Here is a 21,750-nt window from a genome sequence, read left to right as displayed (position 1 = left end):
GCTCTCTAATTCGATGGTCACTGGCATGTTACTAAGCATTTGAAATGTGGCCAGTGCAAATGAGATACTCAGTTTAAATTGTATTTGATTTTAATTTAAATATAAAACAGATACTCAATTTAGTCATTGGAAAACTTTAAGGTATATTTGCAACAAGTTAGGTATGAGAGTCTACTATTGCAAATGTAAGTTTTATAAAATTGAAATACAGATCAAATTTCTGATAAAAATTTGGTGTCTAAATTGAGATGTGTTATAAAATGCACACTAGATTTTGAAGACATAGTAGTAGTGTGCTTTTTGTGTGAAGAAATACAGAATCATTTAGTTAATATTATAAATCCTCACCTAGATATGTATTTTTTCTATTAATCTTTTTTATCTCATGAAAGTAAAATATTAGAATTGCTGTATGTACTAAGAGTTATTTCCTGAATTTTCTATACTTGCAATCTCAACTGACATTACATCAGAGTATCTATTACAATCATATTTTATGTTGTAAAAGCTCTTTGTGTGCTAAACTATAACTTGGGAAAGAAAAATCTGATTTTGACTGATGGCATTCTCACCTGTGTATAACAGAAATCTATGTTTTAGTCTCTTAATTTGTGAATGATACCCATTCTTAACATTACCAATTGCTTTCAGAGTGACAGTGCAACCACAGTTTGTTACAAGGCAAATTAAAGCAGTTTTTTTCTCTGCATCTGTTTTCCTACGTTTTTGGAAATAAAACCTAACCTTATGAGATTATTATTTAAAAAAGACTGAAAATTTTGATATTCTAGCTAACATTTATGTAGAAAAATAGGTTCTTTCTAGTATTCTTGGAACTACATATGAATGTACTAAATGGCTTCTTCAGCTAGGCCTTATCCTGTTTCATTCAAGATGACGGCGGTTATTTTAATAATTAAAATAAACATACAGATGAAAGATGTGAACTTTACCTACTACTGGCAGGATATTGTAATCCCCTTGTAATGTTGCCTTTGAGGGAGAGGCCATATACTCTTTGTGGGTTACTCCCTGTACTTATAACACTTTTCCTATCTGTAGATATTAAATCTCAGAAACAGGAACAGGTAGGTAGTATATCTAAATTCATGTAATAAGTACTTTATTATAATAAGGGTCTGTTGTACTAACATTTTTGTTTCTTCTTAAGCAGCTTGAATTGGCTCCCATGCCAGCTGTTAAACTGTTTCCTCTCACATAAAACACCCTAACTGTAATGTGTCTCAGTTAATTCAGGAGAGTGAGTTGTGTAAAGTACACCTTTTTCTTAGATGTTGTAGGATTGAGTATTTATGGAGTATAGAATTAACAATGAAAGGTGTCATTTAACTTCAAGGATTTTTTTCAAAAAGAACTTTGTGATGCCTAGAAAATATTCTCTATAAAAACAACGAATTCTAGATAATTCAGGCGAGGTCAAAGAAGCTTCTAAATGTAAATACGGACAAAATACAATTACTGTAAGAAATCTTTCTGATAAGGCAAAGTTAACATAACTAGAAATGAAAACACTGTGATTGGATGTGTGTCTAGTATATGGAGATATAAAATCAGCAAATAATCTCAAACACTATCCTTTGTAATATCAGTATGCAGAGACAAATGGGACAGAAACTAGCAATCCTATTTAACTGAAAAGGAAACTGGGGCACAGAAGGCTTTAGTGTCTGTTGCTATTAATTTATTTTTATCAGACAGGCACTCCTTTTGGCTATGATCTGACTATTCCTCCAGTCCATGAACCTCCAAGCATAAATATCAATAAAACAATAAAAAAATGGCCCGGCGCGGTGGCTCACACCTATAATCCCAGCACTTTGGAAGGCGGAGGCGGGCGGATCACCTGAGGTTGGGAGGAAGGCCTGAAAGACTGCTTACTCATCATTATTCAGAGAGAGCAGTGGTTCTTGAACATCAGGTTTCTAGAACTCCCAGAGAAATAATATACAAGATAAACAGGACTGTTCATTGGGCCTTTGCACCCTAACACCTTGACTCTTATCTTATTGACATTCAAATACAATTCCGGTGGAAAATCTGTAGAAACTGACAGGTGTGGCGCCTGAGCTCTCCTCTCTGGGCTTCCTCCCAGTTCCCTTGGGCCTCGGCATTCTGGGTCAAGGTTGGTTCCCTCCGGCCTCAGGGCCCCGGGCATGGCCGGCATCCTGGATGGCACGGCGAAGGTTGTGGATCTGTAGAAAGAGGGCTTCCAAGACGCTAACAAGACAGGAGAGACGAGTCTGATTCTCCTCAGCCTGTCGAGGTGTTCTGTCAACAGTTCTGGGGACCCCTCACGAGTCCTTCCGTCCTGTAATCCCCCTAGGTGTCTGAGCGACCGCCGGCTCTGCCTGAACCGCTCAGGTTCGCACCTTCTGGCATCTTCTCGCACTTTCTCCAGCCTTCCCGGGCAGGGGGATCCTGGCCTGACGCTCCCCGCTCCCTGCCCCCGCCCTGGGTCTCTGGGGTCAGCAGAGCCACCCAGTGCACTGCGTTTAGGCATGCCCACATGGAGAGAGGCGACCACAGCGGTGATCATAAGCCCATGGTGGGCAGAGGCCCTATGGAGCCAAGGGCTCCGGCCGCCACCCCCGCTCCGCCACCAGCAGCGCTGCCAGGACTCGCTCTTCCTCCTCCTCCTCACACGCCGGCTCGGATGATCTCCTGCCATGACTCAGCGCTTCTCGCAGGCTGCCCTGCTGGGGACACCGGCTTCGCTCGGGCCCCTCCCGACGCGTCCACCCCCTCTCGCCACCCACGCCCGCCCCCAGCCGCTGGGCCTTTCCCAGTGCGGCCGCCGCCGCCACAGCTGCAGTCAGCACCGTCACCCCAGCAGCATCCGCCGCCTGCACCGCGCGTGCGGCCCGCCCCGGCCTGACCCCGCCGCCGAACCCGGCGCCAGCCATGGAGCCCGAAGCCCCCCGTCGCCGCCACACCCATCAGCGCGGCTACCTGCTGACACGGAACCCTCACCTCAACAAGGTAAACCCGCAGGCCCACCTGGCCGCCCATCGGCCCCTCTCTATCAGGGTCAGGGCCCTCTTGCAGGTCCCCGCACCATGGCCTCGCCCCTCCGCCGCTCCCCTGGGAAGGTTCCCGGTGAGCGGCCGCGGCCTGGGGGGCCTTGGTGTGGGCAGAAGGAAGAAGGACGCCTAATCGGGTCCGTATCCACTAGAGTGATGGCAGGGCAGTGCTGGTGCCTCTGCACCTCGGCATCCCATGTTAGGGATAGAGGTAAAGGTAAAGGTTAGTGATAGAGGAAAAGGTGATACTTTTCGGCAGCTCTTCTCCAAAAACAAGAGCCCAGACAATGAAAGTAGTATCAGACAAAGTGTGTGAATGGAGTGCCAGGTCAGACTCCATGTGCCACTCACTTACTGGTTGCACACACAGTGTGGCAATTATTGGAAGTTGATAAGGCGAGAAGTGGCTCAACTGGTCCTGCCCAGACAGAAACGTGTACTGAGTGCCTTCAGATCACGTTAGCAATCTGGAAATCCAAGTCCTCTCGGTTTCTGGAGTGACACGGTTAAGAGTCTGGGAATGCGTGGTGGGTGGCCTCTGTCTTGGACACTTTGCATGGCTTGGTAGAAGAACTCTGTCCCAGACATGGGACTGTGGGTAAAGCCATTTCTTTTCTTTCTTTCTTTTGTTTTGTTTTGTTTTGTTTTGTTTTTAATTTGGCTTTCTGGAAGTTAAAAAAAAATTTTGTTTAGAGCTGCTCTCTTTTTATTAAAGGGGAATTCAGTGTACACCCTGTTCAGAGACTCCTTTTCGGATCCTGGTAACATTTCATTTTCCTTCACTGGTGATGCAATATAAGCACTCGGGATGTCTCTCAAATAAAAAATACCTCCGAATTTATCATTTTGCTTCCACACTTATTTTACAGCCAGGTTTGTCTCGGGATTGTTCCTTTTGTGTGTGTGTGTGCGTGCGCTTTGGACATTTCCTATTTATTCAGGAGTCTGAAAATGCCATCAGTCAGCACAGAGGTTTGTTTAGTTATTTTGGTTGTCTCTTTGGTGGACTGCATTTCACATTAAGAACAGAAGCTCAGCTTTTTCCTTGTCGTGTTCCTGATGATTTGTTGATCATATTAATGACTTAAAGACATGATTTATTTAACAAGTTATAGTCAGTGTGAGTGATTTTTTTTGTGTGTGTGGTGACAGGCACCTTTTACAAATCTATGACTGTGTGCTATCTGCCGTCATGTAGCATTATTAAATTGTAAATAATTCCAACTTATTTCTTTCTTTAAAATAAATTTAATTGCTAGTTTGATTGTTTTTTCTTTTCTTTTATTATTCTGCAGGTTTGCCACCTATTTTCAGTAGAACAAAAGTAAAATTTGATGTGACAAAACTATTTGTGACTTGTATGTGTCACCTGCCTACTGTAATTTATGACCAAGTTGTGGGTTGACACTTAAGAAGGACCACATGAGTTGTATAACCTGTTTGATTTTCCTCAAGTTGGGGGCAAGAGTGTCTATTAAGAGTATGTAGATGGCATGAGCAATCCCTGAGCAAGAGTAATTATTGCCTTTACTATGCTTACATCAAGAATTTATTATTATTATTATTATTATTTGAGACGGAGTCGCGCTCTGTCGCCCAGGTTGGAGTGCAGTGGCGCGATCTCCGCTCACTGCAAGCTCCACCTCCTGGGTTCACGCCATTCTCCTGCCTCAGCCTCCCGAGTAGCTGAGACTACAAGCGCCCGCCACCATGCCCGGCAAATTTTTTGTACTTTTAGTACAGACTGGGTTTCACCGTGTTAGTCAGGATTGTCTCGATCTCCTGGCTTCGTGATCCACCCGCCTCAGCCTCCCAAAGTGCTGGGATTACAGGCATGAGCCACCGCGCCCAGCCAAGAATTTATGATATAACAATCCTTGTGACTCCTGTTCACAAGGTTACTAGGAATTAAGGATTAATTCCTACTTCAGAATAATAGTATCACAAAGATCTTCTATCAAAGATAAGATGTAACATTAATATGTTAAAAGCACATTTTCAAATTTGTAATACTTGAACTTTTTATCTGCATTATGTCAAATTGGATCCACAATCCAGTGTACCAACTTGGAGGCAATCGATGGAATAATCTTTTACTCAGTTCTAGGATGGTTATCTGGTACCTTATGGGAGTAACAGAGTTTCCTATGTACCATTGAAACTACAGCTATGGGACTTTCTTCATCTGTCATACATTCAAGACCTCTAGGCCTTTAATTTTGCTAGTAGCTCAGGAATGTTTTGGCTTATTTTTATTCTTATTATTTTGTAATAACCTTGGCTCCAAAGAGACAAGAGTAGATTTTACTTCCCTCAACAACCCAGCCTGTCACATGTCTTCTTCAACCACACTAACACAGAACTTCATCATTTACCTTTGGGTAGCTGCAACAACAGTTTTGCTGGTTTTATTTCCATTGATATAGTTCATTCTACATATATATATGAAAGAGACACCTTCATTAATTAACATTTTCTTCACTTTTCTATTATCCAAGCATTTATAGTATGTTATTATTTCCTATTATGTTTAATGTAAAATCAGTCTGTCAATTGGGTTTACAGTCTTCTCCAAATTTATCTTATTCGTTCCCCAATGTAGGCTTCCACTTAAAATATATTTGCTGAATCTCTTAATTCTTTCCTTTTTGTGTGTAATTTCTACTATGAAAATGTCTTAGTTGATTTAATAATGATCTTTCTAGGGAAGCATTTCTTAGTTATGTTAGTCTTATTATTTAACACCTCTGTTTTTATGTATTCAGTTGTACTATATAATTTTGTATTTACTAACTTGTCTTTTTATTTTCCTTTTTTTTTTTTTGAGACAGAGCCTTGTTCTGTTGCCCAGGCTGGAGTGCAGTGGTGTGATCTAGGTTCACTGCAAACTCTACCTCCTGGGTTCAAGTGACTCTTGTGCCTCAGCCTCCTGAGTAGCTGAGATTACAGGCATGTGCCACTATGCCCAGCTAATTTCTATATTTTAATAGAGACAGGGTTTGGTCATGTTGGCCACGCTGGTCTCAAACTCCTGACCTTAAGTGATCTGCCCGCCTCGGCCTCCCAAAAGTGTTGGGATTACAGGCGTGAGCTACTGCACCCGGCCATAAGTTGTATTTTTTTTTCTTATTTCTTTGATTGTCATAGGGCAGGAGTCACAATATTTAGTACAGTATTTTGCTCAGTAGACATTAAATAAATGTTTACTTAATGAATGAGCCATGTCTTTATTTTTGTCTTTAAACAGAACTCAGCTTTTAAAGTGATAGTTTAGGCATTGTCCTCTTTAAAGTAATTTTGTGAAAATAAATTCACATTGAAGTCTAAAGTTTAGTTCACTTCCTATGCCATTATATAGTATGCTGAAATGTAGTCAGAAAAGTTGAAATGTGGTTTAAGCTTGATAATCTCATGAAATTTTAATTACTTGCTGGATAACCTAAGGGAGGTGCTTCATCTTGGTAAAATCAAAGTTAACAGTAGATATGGTATGAATTCAAAAATTTTCAAAAAACTTAAGAGAATTAGGATCTTCATTTGTTATGATTCATGTATGAGTCTAAGCCTTACTATTTGTTTGTATTAAAATATGCATCATTCAAGGTAGGATTTCATCAAAACAATTGGGGAAGTAAATCTGCCTCATGTTTATGAGATTTAATATTTTTCTGTGCATAGCCCTAACTATTTTTGAGATGCTTATCTTTGCCGGTTTTATATAAATGTGTCTAATTTAATGTTTAATGTTTTTTATTTTCAGGGATATGGTCTAATATAGATGAGTTGTGTTTTAAATTTTTTTCTCAATAATTTTCATGTGACTAATAATATTTCATAAATTGCCCTTCAAAATTAAAATTCTACACATAATAAAATAATCATGCCTATTTTTTATTCTCAATTAGTTTATTTCCCTTTGCAATGGTAGAAAACACTAATTGATAGTTCTATCATAATTGTGCTTACATGGTTTCTATATCTTAAGAGTAAATAATAACATGACCCATAAGTAAATCTCCAAACAACACCACTCTTCCATATTTTAGGCAGTTTGGTTCAGTATAAGTCATGTTTAAGAGTTACGTTCCAGTAGAAGATAGTGTTTTATCGAAGTTAATTTGGGTCATCATTACTAACTTTTACATCTAAAAAATCAGCTTTTGTAGCTGTTTGTTTCCTGGCATGACAAGACCTAGTTGGGTGTGTTGTAAGAAAGAGAGAGAAATAAGATTCATGGCAATGAAGGAAAAGTACCCTAAACCTCTTTTTCTTCAATGTAAACTAGACCTGAATGAATTATTCAGAAAATTTCATCCAACCACATTCTCTAGAGTTGCCTCTGCAACGTGAGAAACTGATTTATTATTTAACATAGAATCCCACTTATGTGAAAGTCATATACAGCCAGGTACCTCTGTATATGTTTGTTACCTTGCTGCAGTGGAAACAACAGTAGTAGTATAGAATATCACAATAACAAAATGTGTGCTGTAATAAGAAAGGTGAGTTTGATATGGTAACTCTTGAGACAGGTGATATGGAGTATAAAAAATATTGAAGAAAGGAATGGATTTGAGATTTTGCCTTTTTCAGCTCTGATTTCCCTCTAACTTTTGGACAGGTAGGGGAGAATGTGATGTAAAGGAATGGACATTCTAAAACTTTGTGCCTAGAAGAAATGAGCCCAAGTCCCAAGCCTCCCAATTAGCTGTGTGATATAGCATCTGGGAAGGTCCTCCTTGCTACATCATCCCATGGCGGAAGGCAAGATGGTAGAGGGTGAGAAGGAGCAAGAGAGGGCTGAACTTGCTTTTATAAAGGAACCCACTCTTGCTTGCAATAACGAACCCACTCCTGCATTAACAATACTAGTCACCTCATAAAAATCCCACCTCTTAACACAGTTGCATTGGGGATTAACAACACATGGACTTTTGGGGACAGATTGAAACCATAGTAGGAAGTCAGGTAATATAATAATGAATAATGTTCTCTAAAAACATGAGAATATAACTGCTAGAGCTTTTCTACTAATATACAGACCCTGGATTTAAAAACACTGGTATTATTTTTTCAATAATCAGGTAATGGTTGAGTAAGAACATCGGCAAAAATACTTGTGTGTTTGATATGGTTTGTCTGTGTTCCTACCCAAATCTCATCTTGAATTGTAGTTCCCATAATCCCCATGTGTTGTGGGAGGGACCCAGTGGGAGGTAATTGAATGATGGGGGTGGTTACCCCCATGCTGCTGTTCTCCTGGTAGTGAGTGAGTTCTCACGAGATCTGATGGTTTTATAAGGGGCTTTCCCCCCTTTTGCTCATTCTTTTTCCTGCCGCCATGTGAAGAAGGATGTGTTTGTTTCCCCTCCCGCCATGATTGTATGTTTCCTGAGGCCTACCCAGCCATGCTGAACTGTGAGTCAATTAAGCATCTTTCTTTATAAATTTCCCAGTCTTGGATATGTCTTTATTAGTAGCATGAGAACAGACTAATACAGTATTCATACCAATGTTAGTAATTATGTTATCAGGCTAGTTGTGATGGCTCACACCTGTAATGCCAGATGTGAGCCACCTGGGAGGCCGAGGTAGGAGGATCACTTGAGCCCAGGAGTTCAAGACCAGACTGGGAAACATAGCAAAATCCCATCTTTACAAAAAAGAAAAAAAAATACAAAAAGCTGGGCATGGTGGTGTGCACCTGTAGTCTCAGCTACTTGAGTGGCTGAGGTGGGAGGCCACAGTGAGCCATGATCACACCCACTGCACTCCAGCCTGTATGACAGATTGAGACCTTGTCTCAGAAAAACAAAACAAAGCAAAACAAAACAAAAGAATAAAACCTTAGAGATCCAGAGGCTGAAGGAGTTCTAAGACTTCCATTGTACTATTAGGCATTGGCCCTTTAAGCTTAGAATATATTTAAATACATTTAAATTGTCTATTCAGAGTCTTAAGATGGCCATCTAGTAAGTCCAGGAGAGAAGCCATAGAATAAAATCAGCCCTCCAGACACCTTGATTTTGGACTTCTATCCTTCAGAACTTTGATAAAATAAATTTATGTTTAAGCCACCCAGTGTGTGACGCTTTGTTGTGGCAGCCCTAGCAAACTAATGATATACTTCTGTAATTGAAGCAAAATTTCATAATACAGCACTTTCCCTTGCTTTGTTTAGTAGACATTTTCTGGACTTTGACAGGAACATGTAGGTGAGAAGCAGTAATGATCTAATCAGTCAGGTTTGCTTGTAGCCATTGCCAATTTTTGACAATCTCTGTCTTTTGATTTTTGTGTTTAGGCCATTTACATTTAATGTAATTGTTGATACACAGAGAGATAAACAGATTTCTATCATATCATAGGTGTCTGTTCCCTTATTTTTCATTCCTCTATTTCTCCTTTCCAACCTAATTTTTAATTACTTAAATATTTTTATTATTCCATTTTGATTTATTCTGTGAGTTTTTGACAATATTTCTTTGTATAGCTTGTTTTTAGTACTTGGTCTGGTGATTATGATACACATACCGAACTTTTCACAGTCAACTTAAAGTTAAAATTTCACCACTTCAATTGAAATATAGAGATCTTACCATTATATAGATCTCATTACCTTCCTCTATTTATGTTGTAGTTATATGTATTATATCCTCTTATATCTCTATATATGTATTACACAAATATTTTTAAAATAGTAATTTAATGTAATGTTTATACCTTTTTTTTTTTTTTTGAGACAGGGTCTTGCTCTGTTATCCAGGCTGGAGTGCAATGGCGTGATCACAGCTCACTGCAGCCTTGACCTCCCAGACTCAGTCCGTCCTCTTGAGTAGCTGGAACTTCAGGTGCACACCATCATGCCTAGCTAATTTTTGTATTTTTTTGTAGAGATGGCATTTTGCCATGTTCCCCAGACTGGTCTGAAACTCCTGGGCTCAAGAAATCCTCCCACTGTGGCCTTCCAAAGTGCTGGTATTATAGGTGTGGCCTGTAACTTTTATTTATTTTTATTTTATTTATTTTTCATTTTTTTTTGAGACAGAATCTTGCTTTGTCATCCAGGCAGGAGGGCAGTGGTAACATGGCTCACTGCAGCCTTGACCTCAAGGCTCAAGCAATCCTCCCACCTTAGCTTCCTGAGCATCTGGGACTACAGGCATGTGCTACCACTCCTGGCTAATTTTCATATTTTTTGTAGAAACACAATTTCATCATGTTACCCCATCTAGTGTCAAACTCCTGAGCTCAAGGTGTCTGCCTACCTCAGCCTCCCAAAGTGCTGGGATTACAGATTTGAGCCACTGTGCCTGGCCCTAACTTTTGTTTTTAACTGTCACACATATTTTAAAGAGTTTAAGAGGGAAAGGATAATCTATTAGAGTTATCCAGGTAGATACTATTTCTGTTACTCTGTTTCATTCCCCATGTTCTGTGTTTGTTTTGGGGTATCATTTCTCTTCCATTTAAAGAATGTCCTCTAACATTTTTTTAAAGCAGGTTTGCTGGAAACTAATTGTCTTAGTTTTTCTTCCTCTGAGAATGTCTATTTTATCTTCATTTGTGAAGGATATTTTCAATAGTTATATAATAATGAGTTGACAGTTCTTTCCCTTTAAGACCTAAAAAAAAAAAAGCCATTTCTCTTCCTCCCGCCCTTTCTTTTTCCTGATGAGAAATCTGCAGTCATTCAAGTTGATATATGTTTGTAATACATCAGTTTTCTCTGGATGTTTTAATGGTATTTTATTTTTCACTTTCAGAATCTTAAATATAATGTTTCTGGGTTTGGAGGTTTTGGGGTTTATCTTCTTGGGGTTTTCTGAGCTTCCTGATTCTGTAAGTATATGTCTTTTATCAAATTTGATATGTTTTCAGCCATTATTTTCTCCAAATATTTTTTTCTTTCTCCTCTCTTTCTGGGACTCTGATGATACAAATGTTAGGCCTTTTGATATTGTCCTGAGGCTCTGAGCCTCAGGTGACTATATGATAGTATCAAAAGGCCTACTTTTTTAAGGACTTGTTTTCTCTTTATTTTCCAAACTGATTTGTTTCTAATGATTCAGCTTTAAGTTCACTGATGCTTTCTACTCTCATCTCAATTCTGTTCTTCAGCCCATCCAATGAATATTTTATTATAATTATTGTATTTTTAAGTTCTAAAATTTCCATTTGGTATAGCTTTTATTTCTTGTCCAATACTTTCTTTCCATTTATTTAGAAAGACTTTGCCCTTATGTTCTTAGGCATGGTTATAATAACTGATTGTAAGTCTTTGTACATTGTACAGAAATTTCAAGGTCTGACACCTCAGGATTGGTGTTTGCTTATTAGTCTTTTATTTTCCAAGTTAACGTTTTCCTGTTTCTATGTTGAGTGATTTTTTAATCTATTCTGGACATTTGCATATTATGAGATTCTAGCTGTCAGTTGTATCTTAAGGGGAATACTGTTCTTCTTTGCTTTAGTGGTCACTCAACCTGGTTAGGTGATTTTGCAAGTTGGACCCACCTGTGGCCTGCGGTTCCGATATCAATTTGGTTTTCAAAGTCTACTCAGTAGTACTGTTTGTATTTGTCCATTATGTGTACCGCCCAGTGGATAGTGTGGGATCTGTGCAGTAGTCTATGCTATAGTTTACTTCTCAAAGCCTTTGGTATGCTGTTTAAGGTCAAATCTATGCACGTTTAGCTCAAAAGTGAGTGTAGAAGTTAATATACAACTTTATGGGATTGCTCTCATGAGTTCCCTTCTTTCTGTGATCTCTGATATTTTTTGTTTCCATGAGGACCCCCTTTCCAGTCCTCATGGCCGGAAAACTGGGCTTTTGTTTTCCTGCCCTGCTGTGTACTTCCTCCAGATTTATTTGCATCTGATGCCATACGATTGGAAGACAGAGAGAAAGTTGCAACAGGCATTTGACCTACGATCTTGAGACCAGCTCTATATCCTCTGGTAAAAAGAATGATTCCCTTACCTTAGAATTTTAGGCATCTGTCGTGGTTATTGCTTCTGCCATCCCCGTGGGATTACCTGGGAGTTGGGACTAGAGAGGTGGAAAAGAATATTGGATGTTCTTCCTTCTCTGACCTTTAAGCACCCCCTTTCTGATTCTTGGACCAGAAAGATAAGGCTTCTCTTGGCAGTCTTTGTACACAATCAATTGCACTTCCAGCTTTTCTGCTGCTTTTGAGTCAAGGCCAGTTGATTACAGCAGAGAGAAAAAAAAGCCAGGCCATATTGGAGGAAAAAATGCCAGGAAACTTAATCTGGTTTTGTCGTACTTTAGATTCTAATCTTCTTCCTTAGTTCTTCTGCTATCATGTATTTTTCAGTCTTCAAATAGCTGCTCAACGCATTCTATACAAGGATTATTGTTGGATTTAGTGGGAGAGACAAGGTATACTATAGCTACCACTTTGCACAGAACCAGACCCTCAGGTTGTTATTTTTAAGGTATGAATGTGTGAAACTCAGTCTAACTTGATTTTAAGTTCGGAGAAGAAAAATACCAGGCAATTGGTTCCCAAATGTACACTCAACATTTTTTCCCTTTTTACTGGGTACATAGTTGCTATACCAATCAATATTAATAATAAAGATTATTGTGTGGAAATGGTTCATGTAAGACAAAAACTCTATACATAATTTATAAAATGTCTGTGTTCTAAGGATTTAGAAAGAAGTTTTGCCTTTTTGATATCTACATACTTCATTTGTGCCCCTTTTTGTGCTGTGAAGGAGAAGAGCAAGTTCGACGTTCAGAATTTCTTTGGGGTTCCCTCTCTTGGCTTTGGGCCCCCCCTCCCTGTCTGCATACAGGGAAGCTTCTTTCTTTCTTTCCCCTTCTTTTGTGCCTATTAAACTGTCCACTACTTAAAACCAAAAAAACAAAAAACTAAAAACAAAAAAACAAAAAACAAAAACAAAAACAACAACAACAAAAAAACCCAACAACAACAACAAAAATTTCTCTGTGGATGTGGGAAGGAGTGTTATACTGTTTTGCATCATAGATTTATCTTTCAACATAGTTGCTCTTAGGGCCTGGAATGTAGTAGGTATTCTGTAATAATTTGTTGAATGAATGAATCAGGGATTATTCTTGAAGTAACACTGTTTTACCTTGCAGATATTGCTATAACCTCTCAGGAGTTCACATCCTACCTTGTGGGATAAATGCACAATAACCTCTTTTATATGCTGTTGAATGTGTGTTGGAGAATCTCTTTTCCTTAATGGGTATAAGGATGACCACTATATCATTTAGGATTAGGTTTTGCTACATATAACAAAAAAGCAAAATAAAAGTGAGTTAACTAAGATACAGCTTAATTAAGATAAACTGTTCTGTGGGTCCACAAAGTCATCAGGAACGTAGGCTTCTCTTTTGCTGCTCTGTCATCTTCAGGATCACTTCATGGTCCTAACTGAGTATGTAGGTCTAAAGATACCACCTACAGACTGGGCGCAGTGGCTTATGCCTGTAATCCAAGCACTTTGGGAGGCTGAGGCAGGCGGATCACTTCAGGTCAGGAGTTCGAGGCCAGCCTGGCCAACATGGTGAAATTCCATCTCTACTAAAAATATAAAAATTAGCTGGGCATGGCGGTGGGCGCCTGTAGTCCCAGCTACTTGGGAGGCTGAGACAGGAGAATCACTTGAACCCAGGAGGTGAAGGTTGCAGTGAACCAAGATCGCACCACTGCACTCCAGCCTCGGTGACAGTGCAAGGCTCCGTCTCAAAAGAAAAAAAAAAGATACCACCTACACATTCCAAGATGGCTGCTGGAAGAAATGAGAGAATTACAAGAAGGCCTGCTTTTCAGTGAAGTCCCCTCTTTTAAAGTAGCCTTCCCCACATTTCACATGATACTTCCACTTAGGACTCATTGTTCAGTACTCTGTCATATGGTCACATATAACTACAGGGGAGTCAGGAAATGTCTTTTATTTAATGCATTGCCACCCCAAATAATATTAGGATTCTGTTCCTGGAAAGGAAGAGGGAAATAGATGTTGTCGTAGGCAATTAGCAGTCTCTACCATAGCCAGAGCTGCCAGAAGCAAAAGGAATGAGATTTAATAAATGAAAATATTAAATATGAATGTAATATTCTTGAAAATTGAGGTGAATGGTTCTTAATATTTTAAAAATAGTCTTATAGATTCGCTTTATAAAAATAAGATATAATAATGTGAAAAGTATGTCTGCCACTTCTGTGTCTGGGCTAGCTGGTTCCCCTCCCTAAAGGCAACCACTGTTGCCAGTGACCAGTGTTTTCATTATATACTAGAGATATTGTATGAAGTATTTTTTAAAGTTAATTTTCATAAGTTAAAATGTTATTGATACAGGACATGAATCAGATATGCCCTTAGTGTGGTAGATAGGAGATAATGTTATAAAGAAAAATGTTTCAGGTGGGAGTATGTATGTGAATTTTATAGAGACACCGAAAACAGATTAAGAATCATGATATCAGGTTGAGCCATCTATGATTTGCCTGGTAGTCTGAAACTAGTTCTGAAGCATTGTTCTACCCACCACCTTTTGTTTTTTTAAAATCTGAGCTAGCCTTAGTATGTGGATTCCTTAATACGGTGAGTGATAAACATGCGGGTTGGCTATTGCTAAACTCACAACATTTTTATGAAATGGAATAACTAGTCAGGAAAGGTACTGGGGCTTCCCATACTTAGGATAATGTTTGAAACTTCTTACCTGGTTAACTAGGACTTGCCCACTCAGGTTCGTACCTTTCTTTCTAGTGCTCATCTTTTATCATTTCTCACAGTTGGTGCAGTTTCCTTCCCTACGCTTTCCCTGAGAAGCCAAGCTTTTCTGCATTAGGGGTTATATACATGCTGTTTCTTCTCTACCTACCCCCAACTTTTCACCTGGTCAACTGCTACTCTTTCTAGTCATCCTTCAGATTGCATTTTGACATTACTCCTCAGTGAACTATTTCTCTAACTGTCTAAATTAAGTTCTTCCTTTTCTTTTCCCTGTACTTATCACAATTGTTATAGTTATTTGTGTAGCTTTTCATATAATATCCTGTTAAGCTCTTTATATTGTAAGCCTAATGAGACTATGGATCATACCTGACAAGCCACTGTTTCGTTGGGGTAGTTCCTGTATGCATTGTAAGCATTCACTCAATGATATCTGTGAGTGTGATGATTAATTTTATCTGTCAACTTGCTTAAGCCACAGGGTGCACAGACATTTGTTCAAACATTACTCTTGTAACTCTTGTAGTGTCAGTGAGAGTGTTTCTGGATAAGATGAACATTTGAACTGAGTAAAGCAGATTGCCCTCCCTAATGTGGGTGGGCCTCATCCAATCAGTTAAAGGACGAAAAAGCTGAGTAAGAGGGAACTTCTCCTGCCTGACTGTCCTGAAGCTGGGACATCAAATTTTTCCTGCCCTTGGACTCAAACTAAAATGTGGGCTCTTCCTGGGTCTTGAACCTCCTGGCTTTCAGACTGGATCTACACCATTACCATTGGCTCTCTTGGGTCTCTAGCTTGCTGGCAGCAGGTCTTTGGACTTGTCAGCCTCCATAATCATGTGAGCCAATTATACTATTTCTCTCATAATAAATCTCTTCATATATATAAAGGTTCAGTTTCTTAGGAAAACTGACCAATACAGCGAGCTTCACAACCGCCCATAAAGTAACTGTAAAAGCAGAGAGAAAACATTTCTGCAAATCTCCACAGTGGATCTGAAGCAAGAAAGCCATCTTGTGGTGTTTCTGGGAATATCATGTCTGAGGTATATATCCCTTAAGAAACTGAAACAGTCCTCTGCAACAGTTTTCAACATATTTTGTGCCAAAGGCACAAAAGTTGGAAAGTTGATGAAGTCTGTGGTCTCCTTAAATCAATGATTTTAAATAAACAGTATACATAATATTACAAAGGAAACCACTTGTAATTAAATATAGGTATCAAAATATTAACAAATATATTTACAAGTGTGTATTGTAAGATATATTCCTCTTTATTGAAGACTCATATAGCAAGATAATATATTTAAATATGGGCAATTTAAAGTAAAGTTTTATTTTTTAAAGAGATCAATATCAAGGTTGTCTGCATGACTGGCCTGTGTGCCTGTTCATGTTATTAAAAAAAGTTGGGCCTGGCGTTGTAGCTCATGCCTGTAATCCCAGTACTTTGGGAGGCCAAGGCGGGTGGATCACAAGGTCAAGAGATCGAGACCATCCTGGCCAACATGGTGAAACCCCGTCTCTACTAAAAATACAAAAATTAGCTGTGCATGGTGGCACGCGCCTGTAGTCCCACCTGCTTAGGAGGCTGAGGCAGGAGAATGGCTTGAACCTGGGTGGCGGAGGTTGCAATGATCCGAGATCACGCCACTTCACTCTAGCCTGGGCGACAAAGTGAGACTCCGTCTCAAAACAACAACAACAACAACAACAACAAAAAACAACAAAAAAAACATGTTAGTTAGGCACAGTGGCTCCTGTAATCCCAGCACTTTGGGAGGCCAAGGGAGGAAGACTGCTTGAGGACAAAGGACAGGAATTTGAGATCAATCAGGGCAACATAGTGAGACCCTGTCTCAAAAAAAAATTTTTTTTCCAGATGTGGTGGTGTATGCGTATAGTTCCAGCTACTCAAGAAGCTAAGGCAAGAGGATTGCTTGAGCCCAGGAATTCGAGGCTGCAGTGAGCTATGATTATACTACCGCACTCTATCCTGGGCAACAGACTGTCTCTAAACAAAGCAAAACAAAGCAAAACAAAACCTTATTGCAGATCTAAAGCTACAGTAATTTCAAAGTAATGAAGAACATGAATGTTATTTCCAGATACATGCCACAGATGTAACATGGCATAAAAATAATTGTTATTTCTATTATGACAAAGACACAGAAACTACTTTTTTTTTTTTTTTTTTAGACAAATCTCACTCTGTCACCCAGCCTGGAGTGCAGTGGCATGATCTTGACTCACTGCAGCTTTGACTTCCCGGGCCAAAGACATCCTACCACCTCTGCCTCCCAAGTAGCTGGGACTACAGGTGCATGCCACCACACCCAGCTAATTTTTTTCTACTTTTTTTTTGTAGAGATGGGGATCTCACTATGTTGCCCAGGCTGGTCTCGCACTCCTGAGCTCAAGCGATCCTCCTGCCTTGGCCTCCCAAACTGCTGGGATTAGAGGCGTGAGTCACTGTGCCTGGCCAGGAACTACTATTATGTCTCTTGTTTATTTCATTTAAAATGGAAGGAAATACTAAATCTCATAGAGTTTGTGAAAAAGATGTCCAAGTTCAGGCCTCCTTAATTACTCATCCATACCTTGAGGATCTGTGATTAGGTCTGTGAATTTTAAGTTAAAAGCCTCTGATAGGGGGCTAAATTGGTTCTTCACCAGAAGCACTGACCTTGGTCTCTGAAAACTGATTCTTAAACTCAGAGGCTTTCAGACAATACTGAAATGTGAAGAATAAAAGTCAATATTCATGTAGCATGTGCATATTAGTGACTTTATTTTAAAACTTTGTACCATAAGCATTTATATAACACTTTATAATTTACGTAGGATGCAAAAACACCTGGTCTCATTTTTTTCTTCCCAACAACCCAGTGAAACACACATAACATGTACTATGTGTTCAGTAAATAGTTGATTAGTCTTATTTAGCAGATGCAATAATTGAGGCAAATCTCCATTTAACCCTTAACACCTTAAATATTTGCTCAAAATCAAGTGTTAAATAATATCTACTTGTGACTCAAACTTGACAAATGGTATACCCTTTAGTCTTATGTTGCTATTCAGTCATATTTGTTGGTGAAGTGTGCATCTAAATTTCTAGTGTATGGCTTATTACAATCTATTAAATACCAAAAATGTACTGAATAGCTGCCTACAACAAATAATTGTCTGTCCTAAAATGTCACTAGTACCAAGATTGAGAAACCTGGTCAAGATGAAAGTACTTTAAAAAATCCCCATAAACTCTGGCACTTATGCTGATATGTAGATATATATTTTGGTCAAACCAAAGTTGATCTTGAATGCCTGGTTTAAAGTCAATGAAAAAACTTGTTAATAGTGGATTAGTTTAATTAAATGATTTCCTAAGGTATATGTGGAAAGCTTAATTATTATTTGGGAGATTTTTAAATCATGAGCACTCTTTGTACTATTGCATAAATAAATCTTTGTTTGAAATTTGAATTCGGTGATTTGGTTATTCAAAATAGAACTACACAGAACCGAACTACAGAGTACTGAAAATTTGTTTCACATTAATGTATTTATACATCCATTTGCTTATTTAAAATTTATTAAGGCCCTGCTCCATCCCGACATTGTACTAGGTGCTGTCATACAAATATGAATAGTATAGTGCCTGTCTTCCAGACCTGGGTAAAATGGCAGGTAAGCAGAAACAATGAACTATGGGACATTCTATGATAGAATTATCCCTTGAAGGAGATCATTATTCAGGAATAGGCAAAGGACACAGGAAGAAACAGACATTTGCAACTTCGTGTGTAAATTAATTGGTAATTAAATGTGTTGGAATTGCTGTCTAATGTTCATAGTCTGCAGATTCTTCTATTAGCTTGAAGAGTTAAGAAATCAAGACACAATAGAGGATTATTTTATAATTCTGATCTTTCTGGTTCATTATATGAGTAATCACTATACACACTATCATAGGCATAGAGGATTTTGTCACATATATAAGATTTTAAAAAATAGTATAAAGGTACGTATGATAACTAGGAAGTCTATTGGCAACCAGTGGTTTATTTGGATTATTCATACACGTTTCAATTGAAGATCTTAAATTTTGATTTTTCATCATTTGTGTCCATTGCTAGTTTCAGGTATTTACTGAGAAGTCTCAATCTGCTTATTTAACAGATACTTTTCTCTATTGGTTTAGTGACAGTGAAATTTGCCTTACAACTTGTTATGATAAAATAGTGCTCCATCTTGCTGAAAAGCTTTTGAAATTTTTCAAATGATTTCAATGATTTCAAGAGATATATTTGGGAAAATTTAGTGTTGACATTGTTGGCTAACAATTTTTCAGCCTTACAAAGAATCTATAACGATCAGTAATAAGACTTTTAAGTGAGAAATACTTAAACCTCTCATCCAATGTTTTAAAAACCCATTTGCTCTCTTAGGTAGAGGTGTTCTTTCTTTTTTTAAAAAAAAATTTAAGCAAACATGTCATTTAAATCACAAAATTGTTACACTTGCTTATATCCTATATTCATACCTCAATGAAATAATTTTGGGGTACTATAAAGTGATATTTTGCTGTAAATTTTAGGGTATCAAAGGCCAAGACTTAGCTGAATATATTTTAGATATATTGTTATAATCATTAACAGGTTAAAATTACTTTATATCAGATATGAGTAAAAATTAATTACTATGGAATGAAAGCAAATGATCTTTTGTGTAAAGAAGCTGTGTTTAATATATTGTTGGCCTTAAATAATTGGTTTTCTGTCCTTTAAAGGAGACTAATAAAGAATTTGTTTGTATAGTTAAATGCATTCAAAGTAATTATTTTTATATGATTATTTTCTGATGTAAACTTTACCGTGTAAATACATATGTCATCTGGCTGATTTTTTTTGGGGGGGAAATGAGGTTGGATACCACCATAAAAATAAATTTTTTTAGTTTTTTTTTTTTTTTTTTTTCAAGATGGGGTCTTGCTCTGTCACCCAGGCTGGAGTGCAATGGTGTGATCTCAGCTCATTGCAACCTTAACCTCCCAGGATCAAATGATCTTCCCACCTCAGCCTCTTGAGTAGCTGGGACCACAGGCATGCACCACCATACCTGGCTAATTTATTTTCAATTTTTGTGGAGGTAGTATCTCCCTGTGTTTCCCAGGTTGGTGTTGCACTCCTGGGCTCAAGCCATCCTTCTGCTTTACCCTCCCAATGTGCTGGGATTACAGGTGTGAGGCATCATGCCCAGCCAATTCTAGAAATTGTTATCTATATTATCAATTAGAATTTAAAAATAATCATTTCCAAAGAACAATTTTTGGCACTATAGAAGCCTTGGAGGAAGGAACCCTTCAGTAGAATGTGTTCAGGGCAAATTAGTATCAATTCTCTTAATGTAGATGTAAAATATGCACATAAACTATGTTAATAAATTGAAAATATGACACTTAAAACAAGCTCAATTTTATCTCTTTCAGAATAATAAATAATAAAAATATAAAGGGTCCTCTTTCTGTACTCTTTATATATAAATAATTTTCTCCCCCAAATTAGCATTAAAATTAATTCTAAAACTTTTTTGATATGAAGAAATAATTTTAAGATAGATCTACTATATTATTTGCAAGGTCACATTAATAAAATATATATAATTCATTTGAAATAAAAAATTAAGAAAAAATTTTCATAAAGGATTCAAAGACAATCATATTAGATAAAGAATATTTTAGGCTGGATGTGCGAGCCACTGTGCCTGGCCTAAAATATTCTTTGTTTAATTTGATTGTGTAATAATCCTAGGACTTTGGGAGGCCAAGGCAGGCAGATCGCTTGAGCTCAGGAGTTCAAGCCTAGTCTGGAGCAACATGGTGAAACCCAGTCTCTACCAAAAAATACAAACACAATTAGCTGAGCATGGTGGCATGTGCCTGTTGTCTTAGCTACTTGGGAGACTGAGGCAGGAGGATCACTTGAGCCTAGGAGGTGGAATATGAAATATATCAATAATTTGCTAAACAAATTTTTAGTCATTGTAATTATATTTCTTTTTAAGTAAAGAGAATATTAGTTACTGAATTGACTCTATAGAGTCTAATAAAATTCAATATAATGAAATTTACTTTTGGATGTACAGTTCTATTAGTTTTGACAAATATGCAATGTTGTGTAATCAACACCACAATAAGGAATGGTTCTATCACTGAAAAACATTTTCTTTTTGCTCCCTCTTTGAAGTCAAACCCTTTTTTCCACTCCCAGTCCCTGGCAACTACTGATCTTTTTCTATTCATATAACTTTGCTTTTTCAGAATGTCATATAAATGGAATCATACAGTATGTAGCCTTTTGAGTCTGGCTTCTTTCACTTAACATGATTCATCTATGTTTTGTGTATCAATAGTTTTGTTTTTTTACTGTTGGGTAATATTTCAGTGTATGGATATACCTTAGTTTTATCCATTTACTAGTTGAAGGACTTTTGTTGTTTCAAATTATTTGCAATTATTACTTTCCATTTGCCTTTCTACCATTTTTAACCTTCCTTATTCTCTTTTCTGCTTTGTCTTCTCCAAAATGTACTATAACAAGTATAATTAATTAATCATTAGTTAGTTAATCCGACACATTTTTTTGATTGCCTATGAAGTGCCACACAAGTATTATTCTAGACACTAGAGATTACACTAGTTAAACAGAACACACAAACCATCTCTGCCGTAATATAATCATAGCCTCAAATATTTAAATTATAAGTTCTGTTACCATAATGAATTTTCATACATGTATAGATTAATTGTCTTAAAGATCTTTATGAATAAGATAAATGTTTCCTTTTTTTTTGCAATTCAGCTTGATTTAGTAATTTTTCAGGGAAAAAAAGTCATTCATTGGAAATATTAAGGATTGTTAGTGCGGAATACAGAATATATTTGTTCTGTTTTTATGGCAAT

The 21,750-nt window shown here is 37.8% G+C and overlaps 1 protein-coding gene across 1 annotated transcript in view, besides 5 other annotated features; it reads left to right on the top strand.

Moving 5' to 3' along the window:
• Positions 1,411 to 2,610: an enhancer, noted in NCBI's record as "MED14-independent group 3 enhancer chr6:84140986-84142185 (GRCh37/hg19 assembly coordinates)". NCBI's record gives its function as "activates an origin of replication core promoter dependent on BRD2, BRD4, P300/CBP and CDK7 cofactors, and independent of MED14, by STARR-seq in HCT116 cells {active_cell/tissue: HCT116}" and the evidence as "EXISTENCE:reporter gene assay evidence [ECO:0000049][PMID:35650434]".
• Positions 1,411 to 2,722: a biological region, named in NCBI's record as "MED14-independent group 3 enhancer GRCh37_chr6:84140986-84142185".
• Positions 2,553 to 2,722: an enhancer, noted in NCBI's record as "active region_24785". NCBI's record gives its function as "activates an Ori minimal core promoter by ATAC-STARR-seq in GM12878 lymphoblastoid cells {active_cell/tissue: GM12878}" and the evidence as "EXISTENCE:reporter gene assay evidence [ECO:0000049][PMID:35858748]".
• The window catches only part of ME1 (malic enzyme 1), a 220,650-nt gene continuing 201,725 nt past the window's right edge, over positions 2,826 to 21,750 (top strand). The window contains exon 1 of the mRNA NM_002395.6: positions 2,826 to 3,000. Within this exon, the coding sequence (NP_002386.1) occupies positions 2,923 to 3,000 (78 nt within the window). The 5' untranslated portion in view covers positions 2,826 to 2,922. The remainder of the gene's footprint in view (positions 3,001 to 21,750) is intronic.
• Positions 2,933 to 3,122: a silencer, noted in NCBI's record as "silent region_17358". NCBI's record gives its function as "represses an Ori minimal core promoter by ATAC-STARR-seq in GM12878 lymphoblastoid cells {active_cell/tissue: GM12878}" and the evidence as "EXISTENCE:reporter gene assay evidence [ECO:0000049][PMID:35858748]".
• Positions 3,343 to 3,612: an enhancer, noted in NCBI's record as "active region_24784". NCBI's record gives its function as "activates an Ori minimal core promoter by ATAC-STARR-seq in GM12878 lymphoblastoid cells {active_cell/tissue: GM12878}" and the evidence as "EXISTENCE:reporter gene assay evidence [ECO:0000049][PMID:35858748]".

This window comes from Homo sapiens, chromosome 6, assembly GCF_000001405.40.
Source record: "Homo sapiens chromosome 6, GRCh38.p14 Primary Assembly".
Lineage (NCBI taxonomy): Eukaryota > Metazoa > Chordata > Mammalia > Primates > Hominidae > Homo > Homo sapiens.
This window is presented reverse-complemented; position numbering and strand designations above follow the sequence as displayed.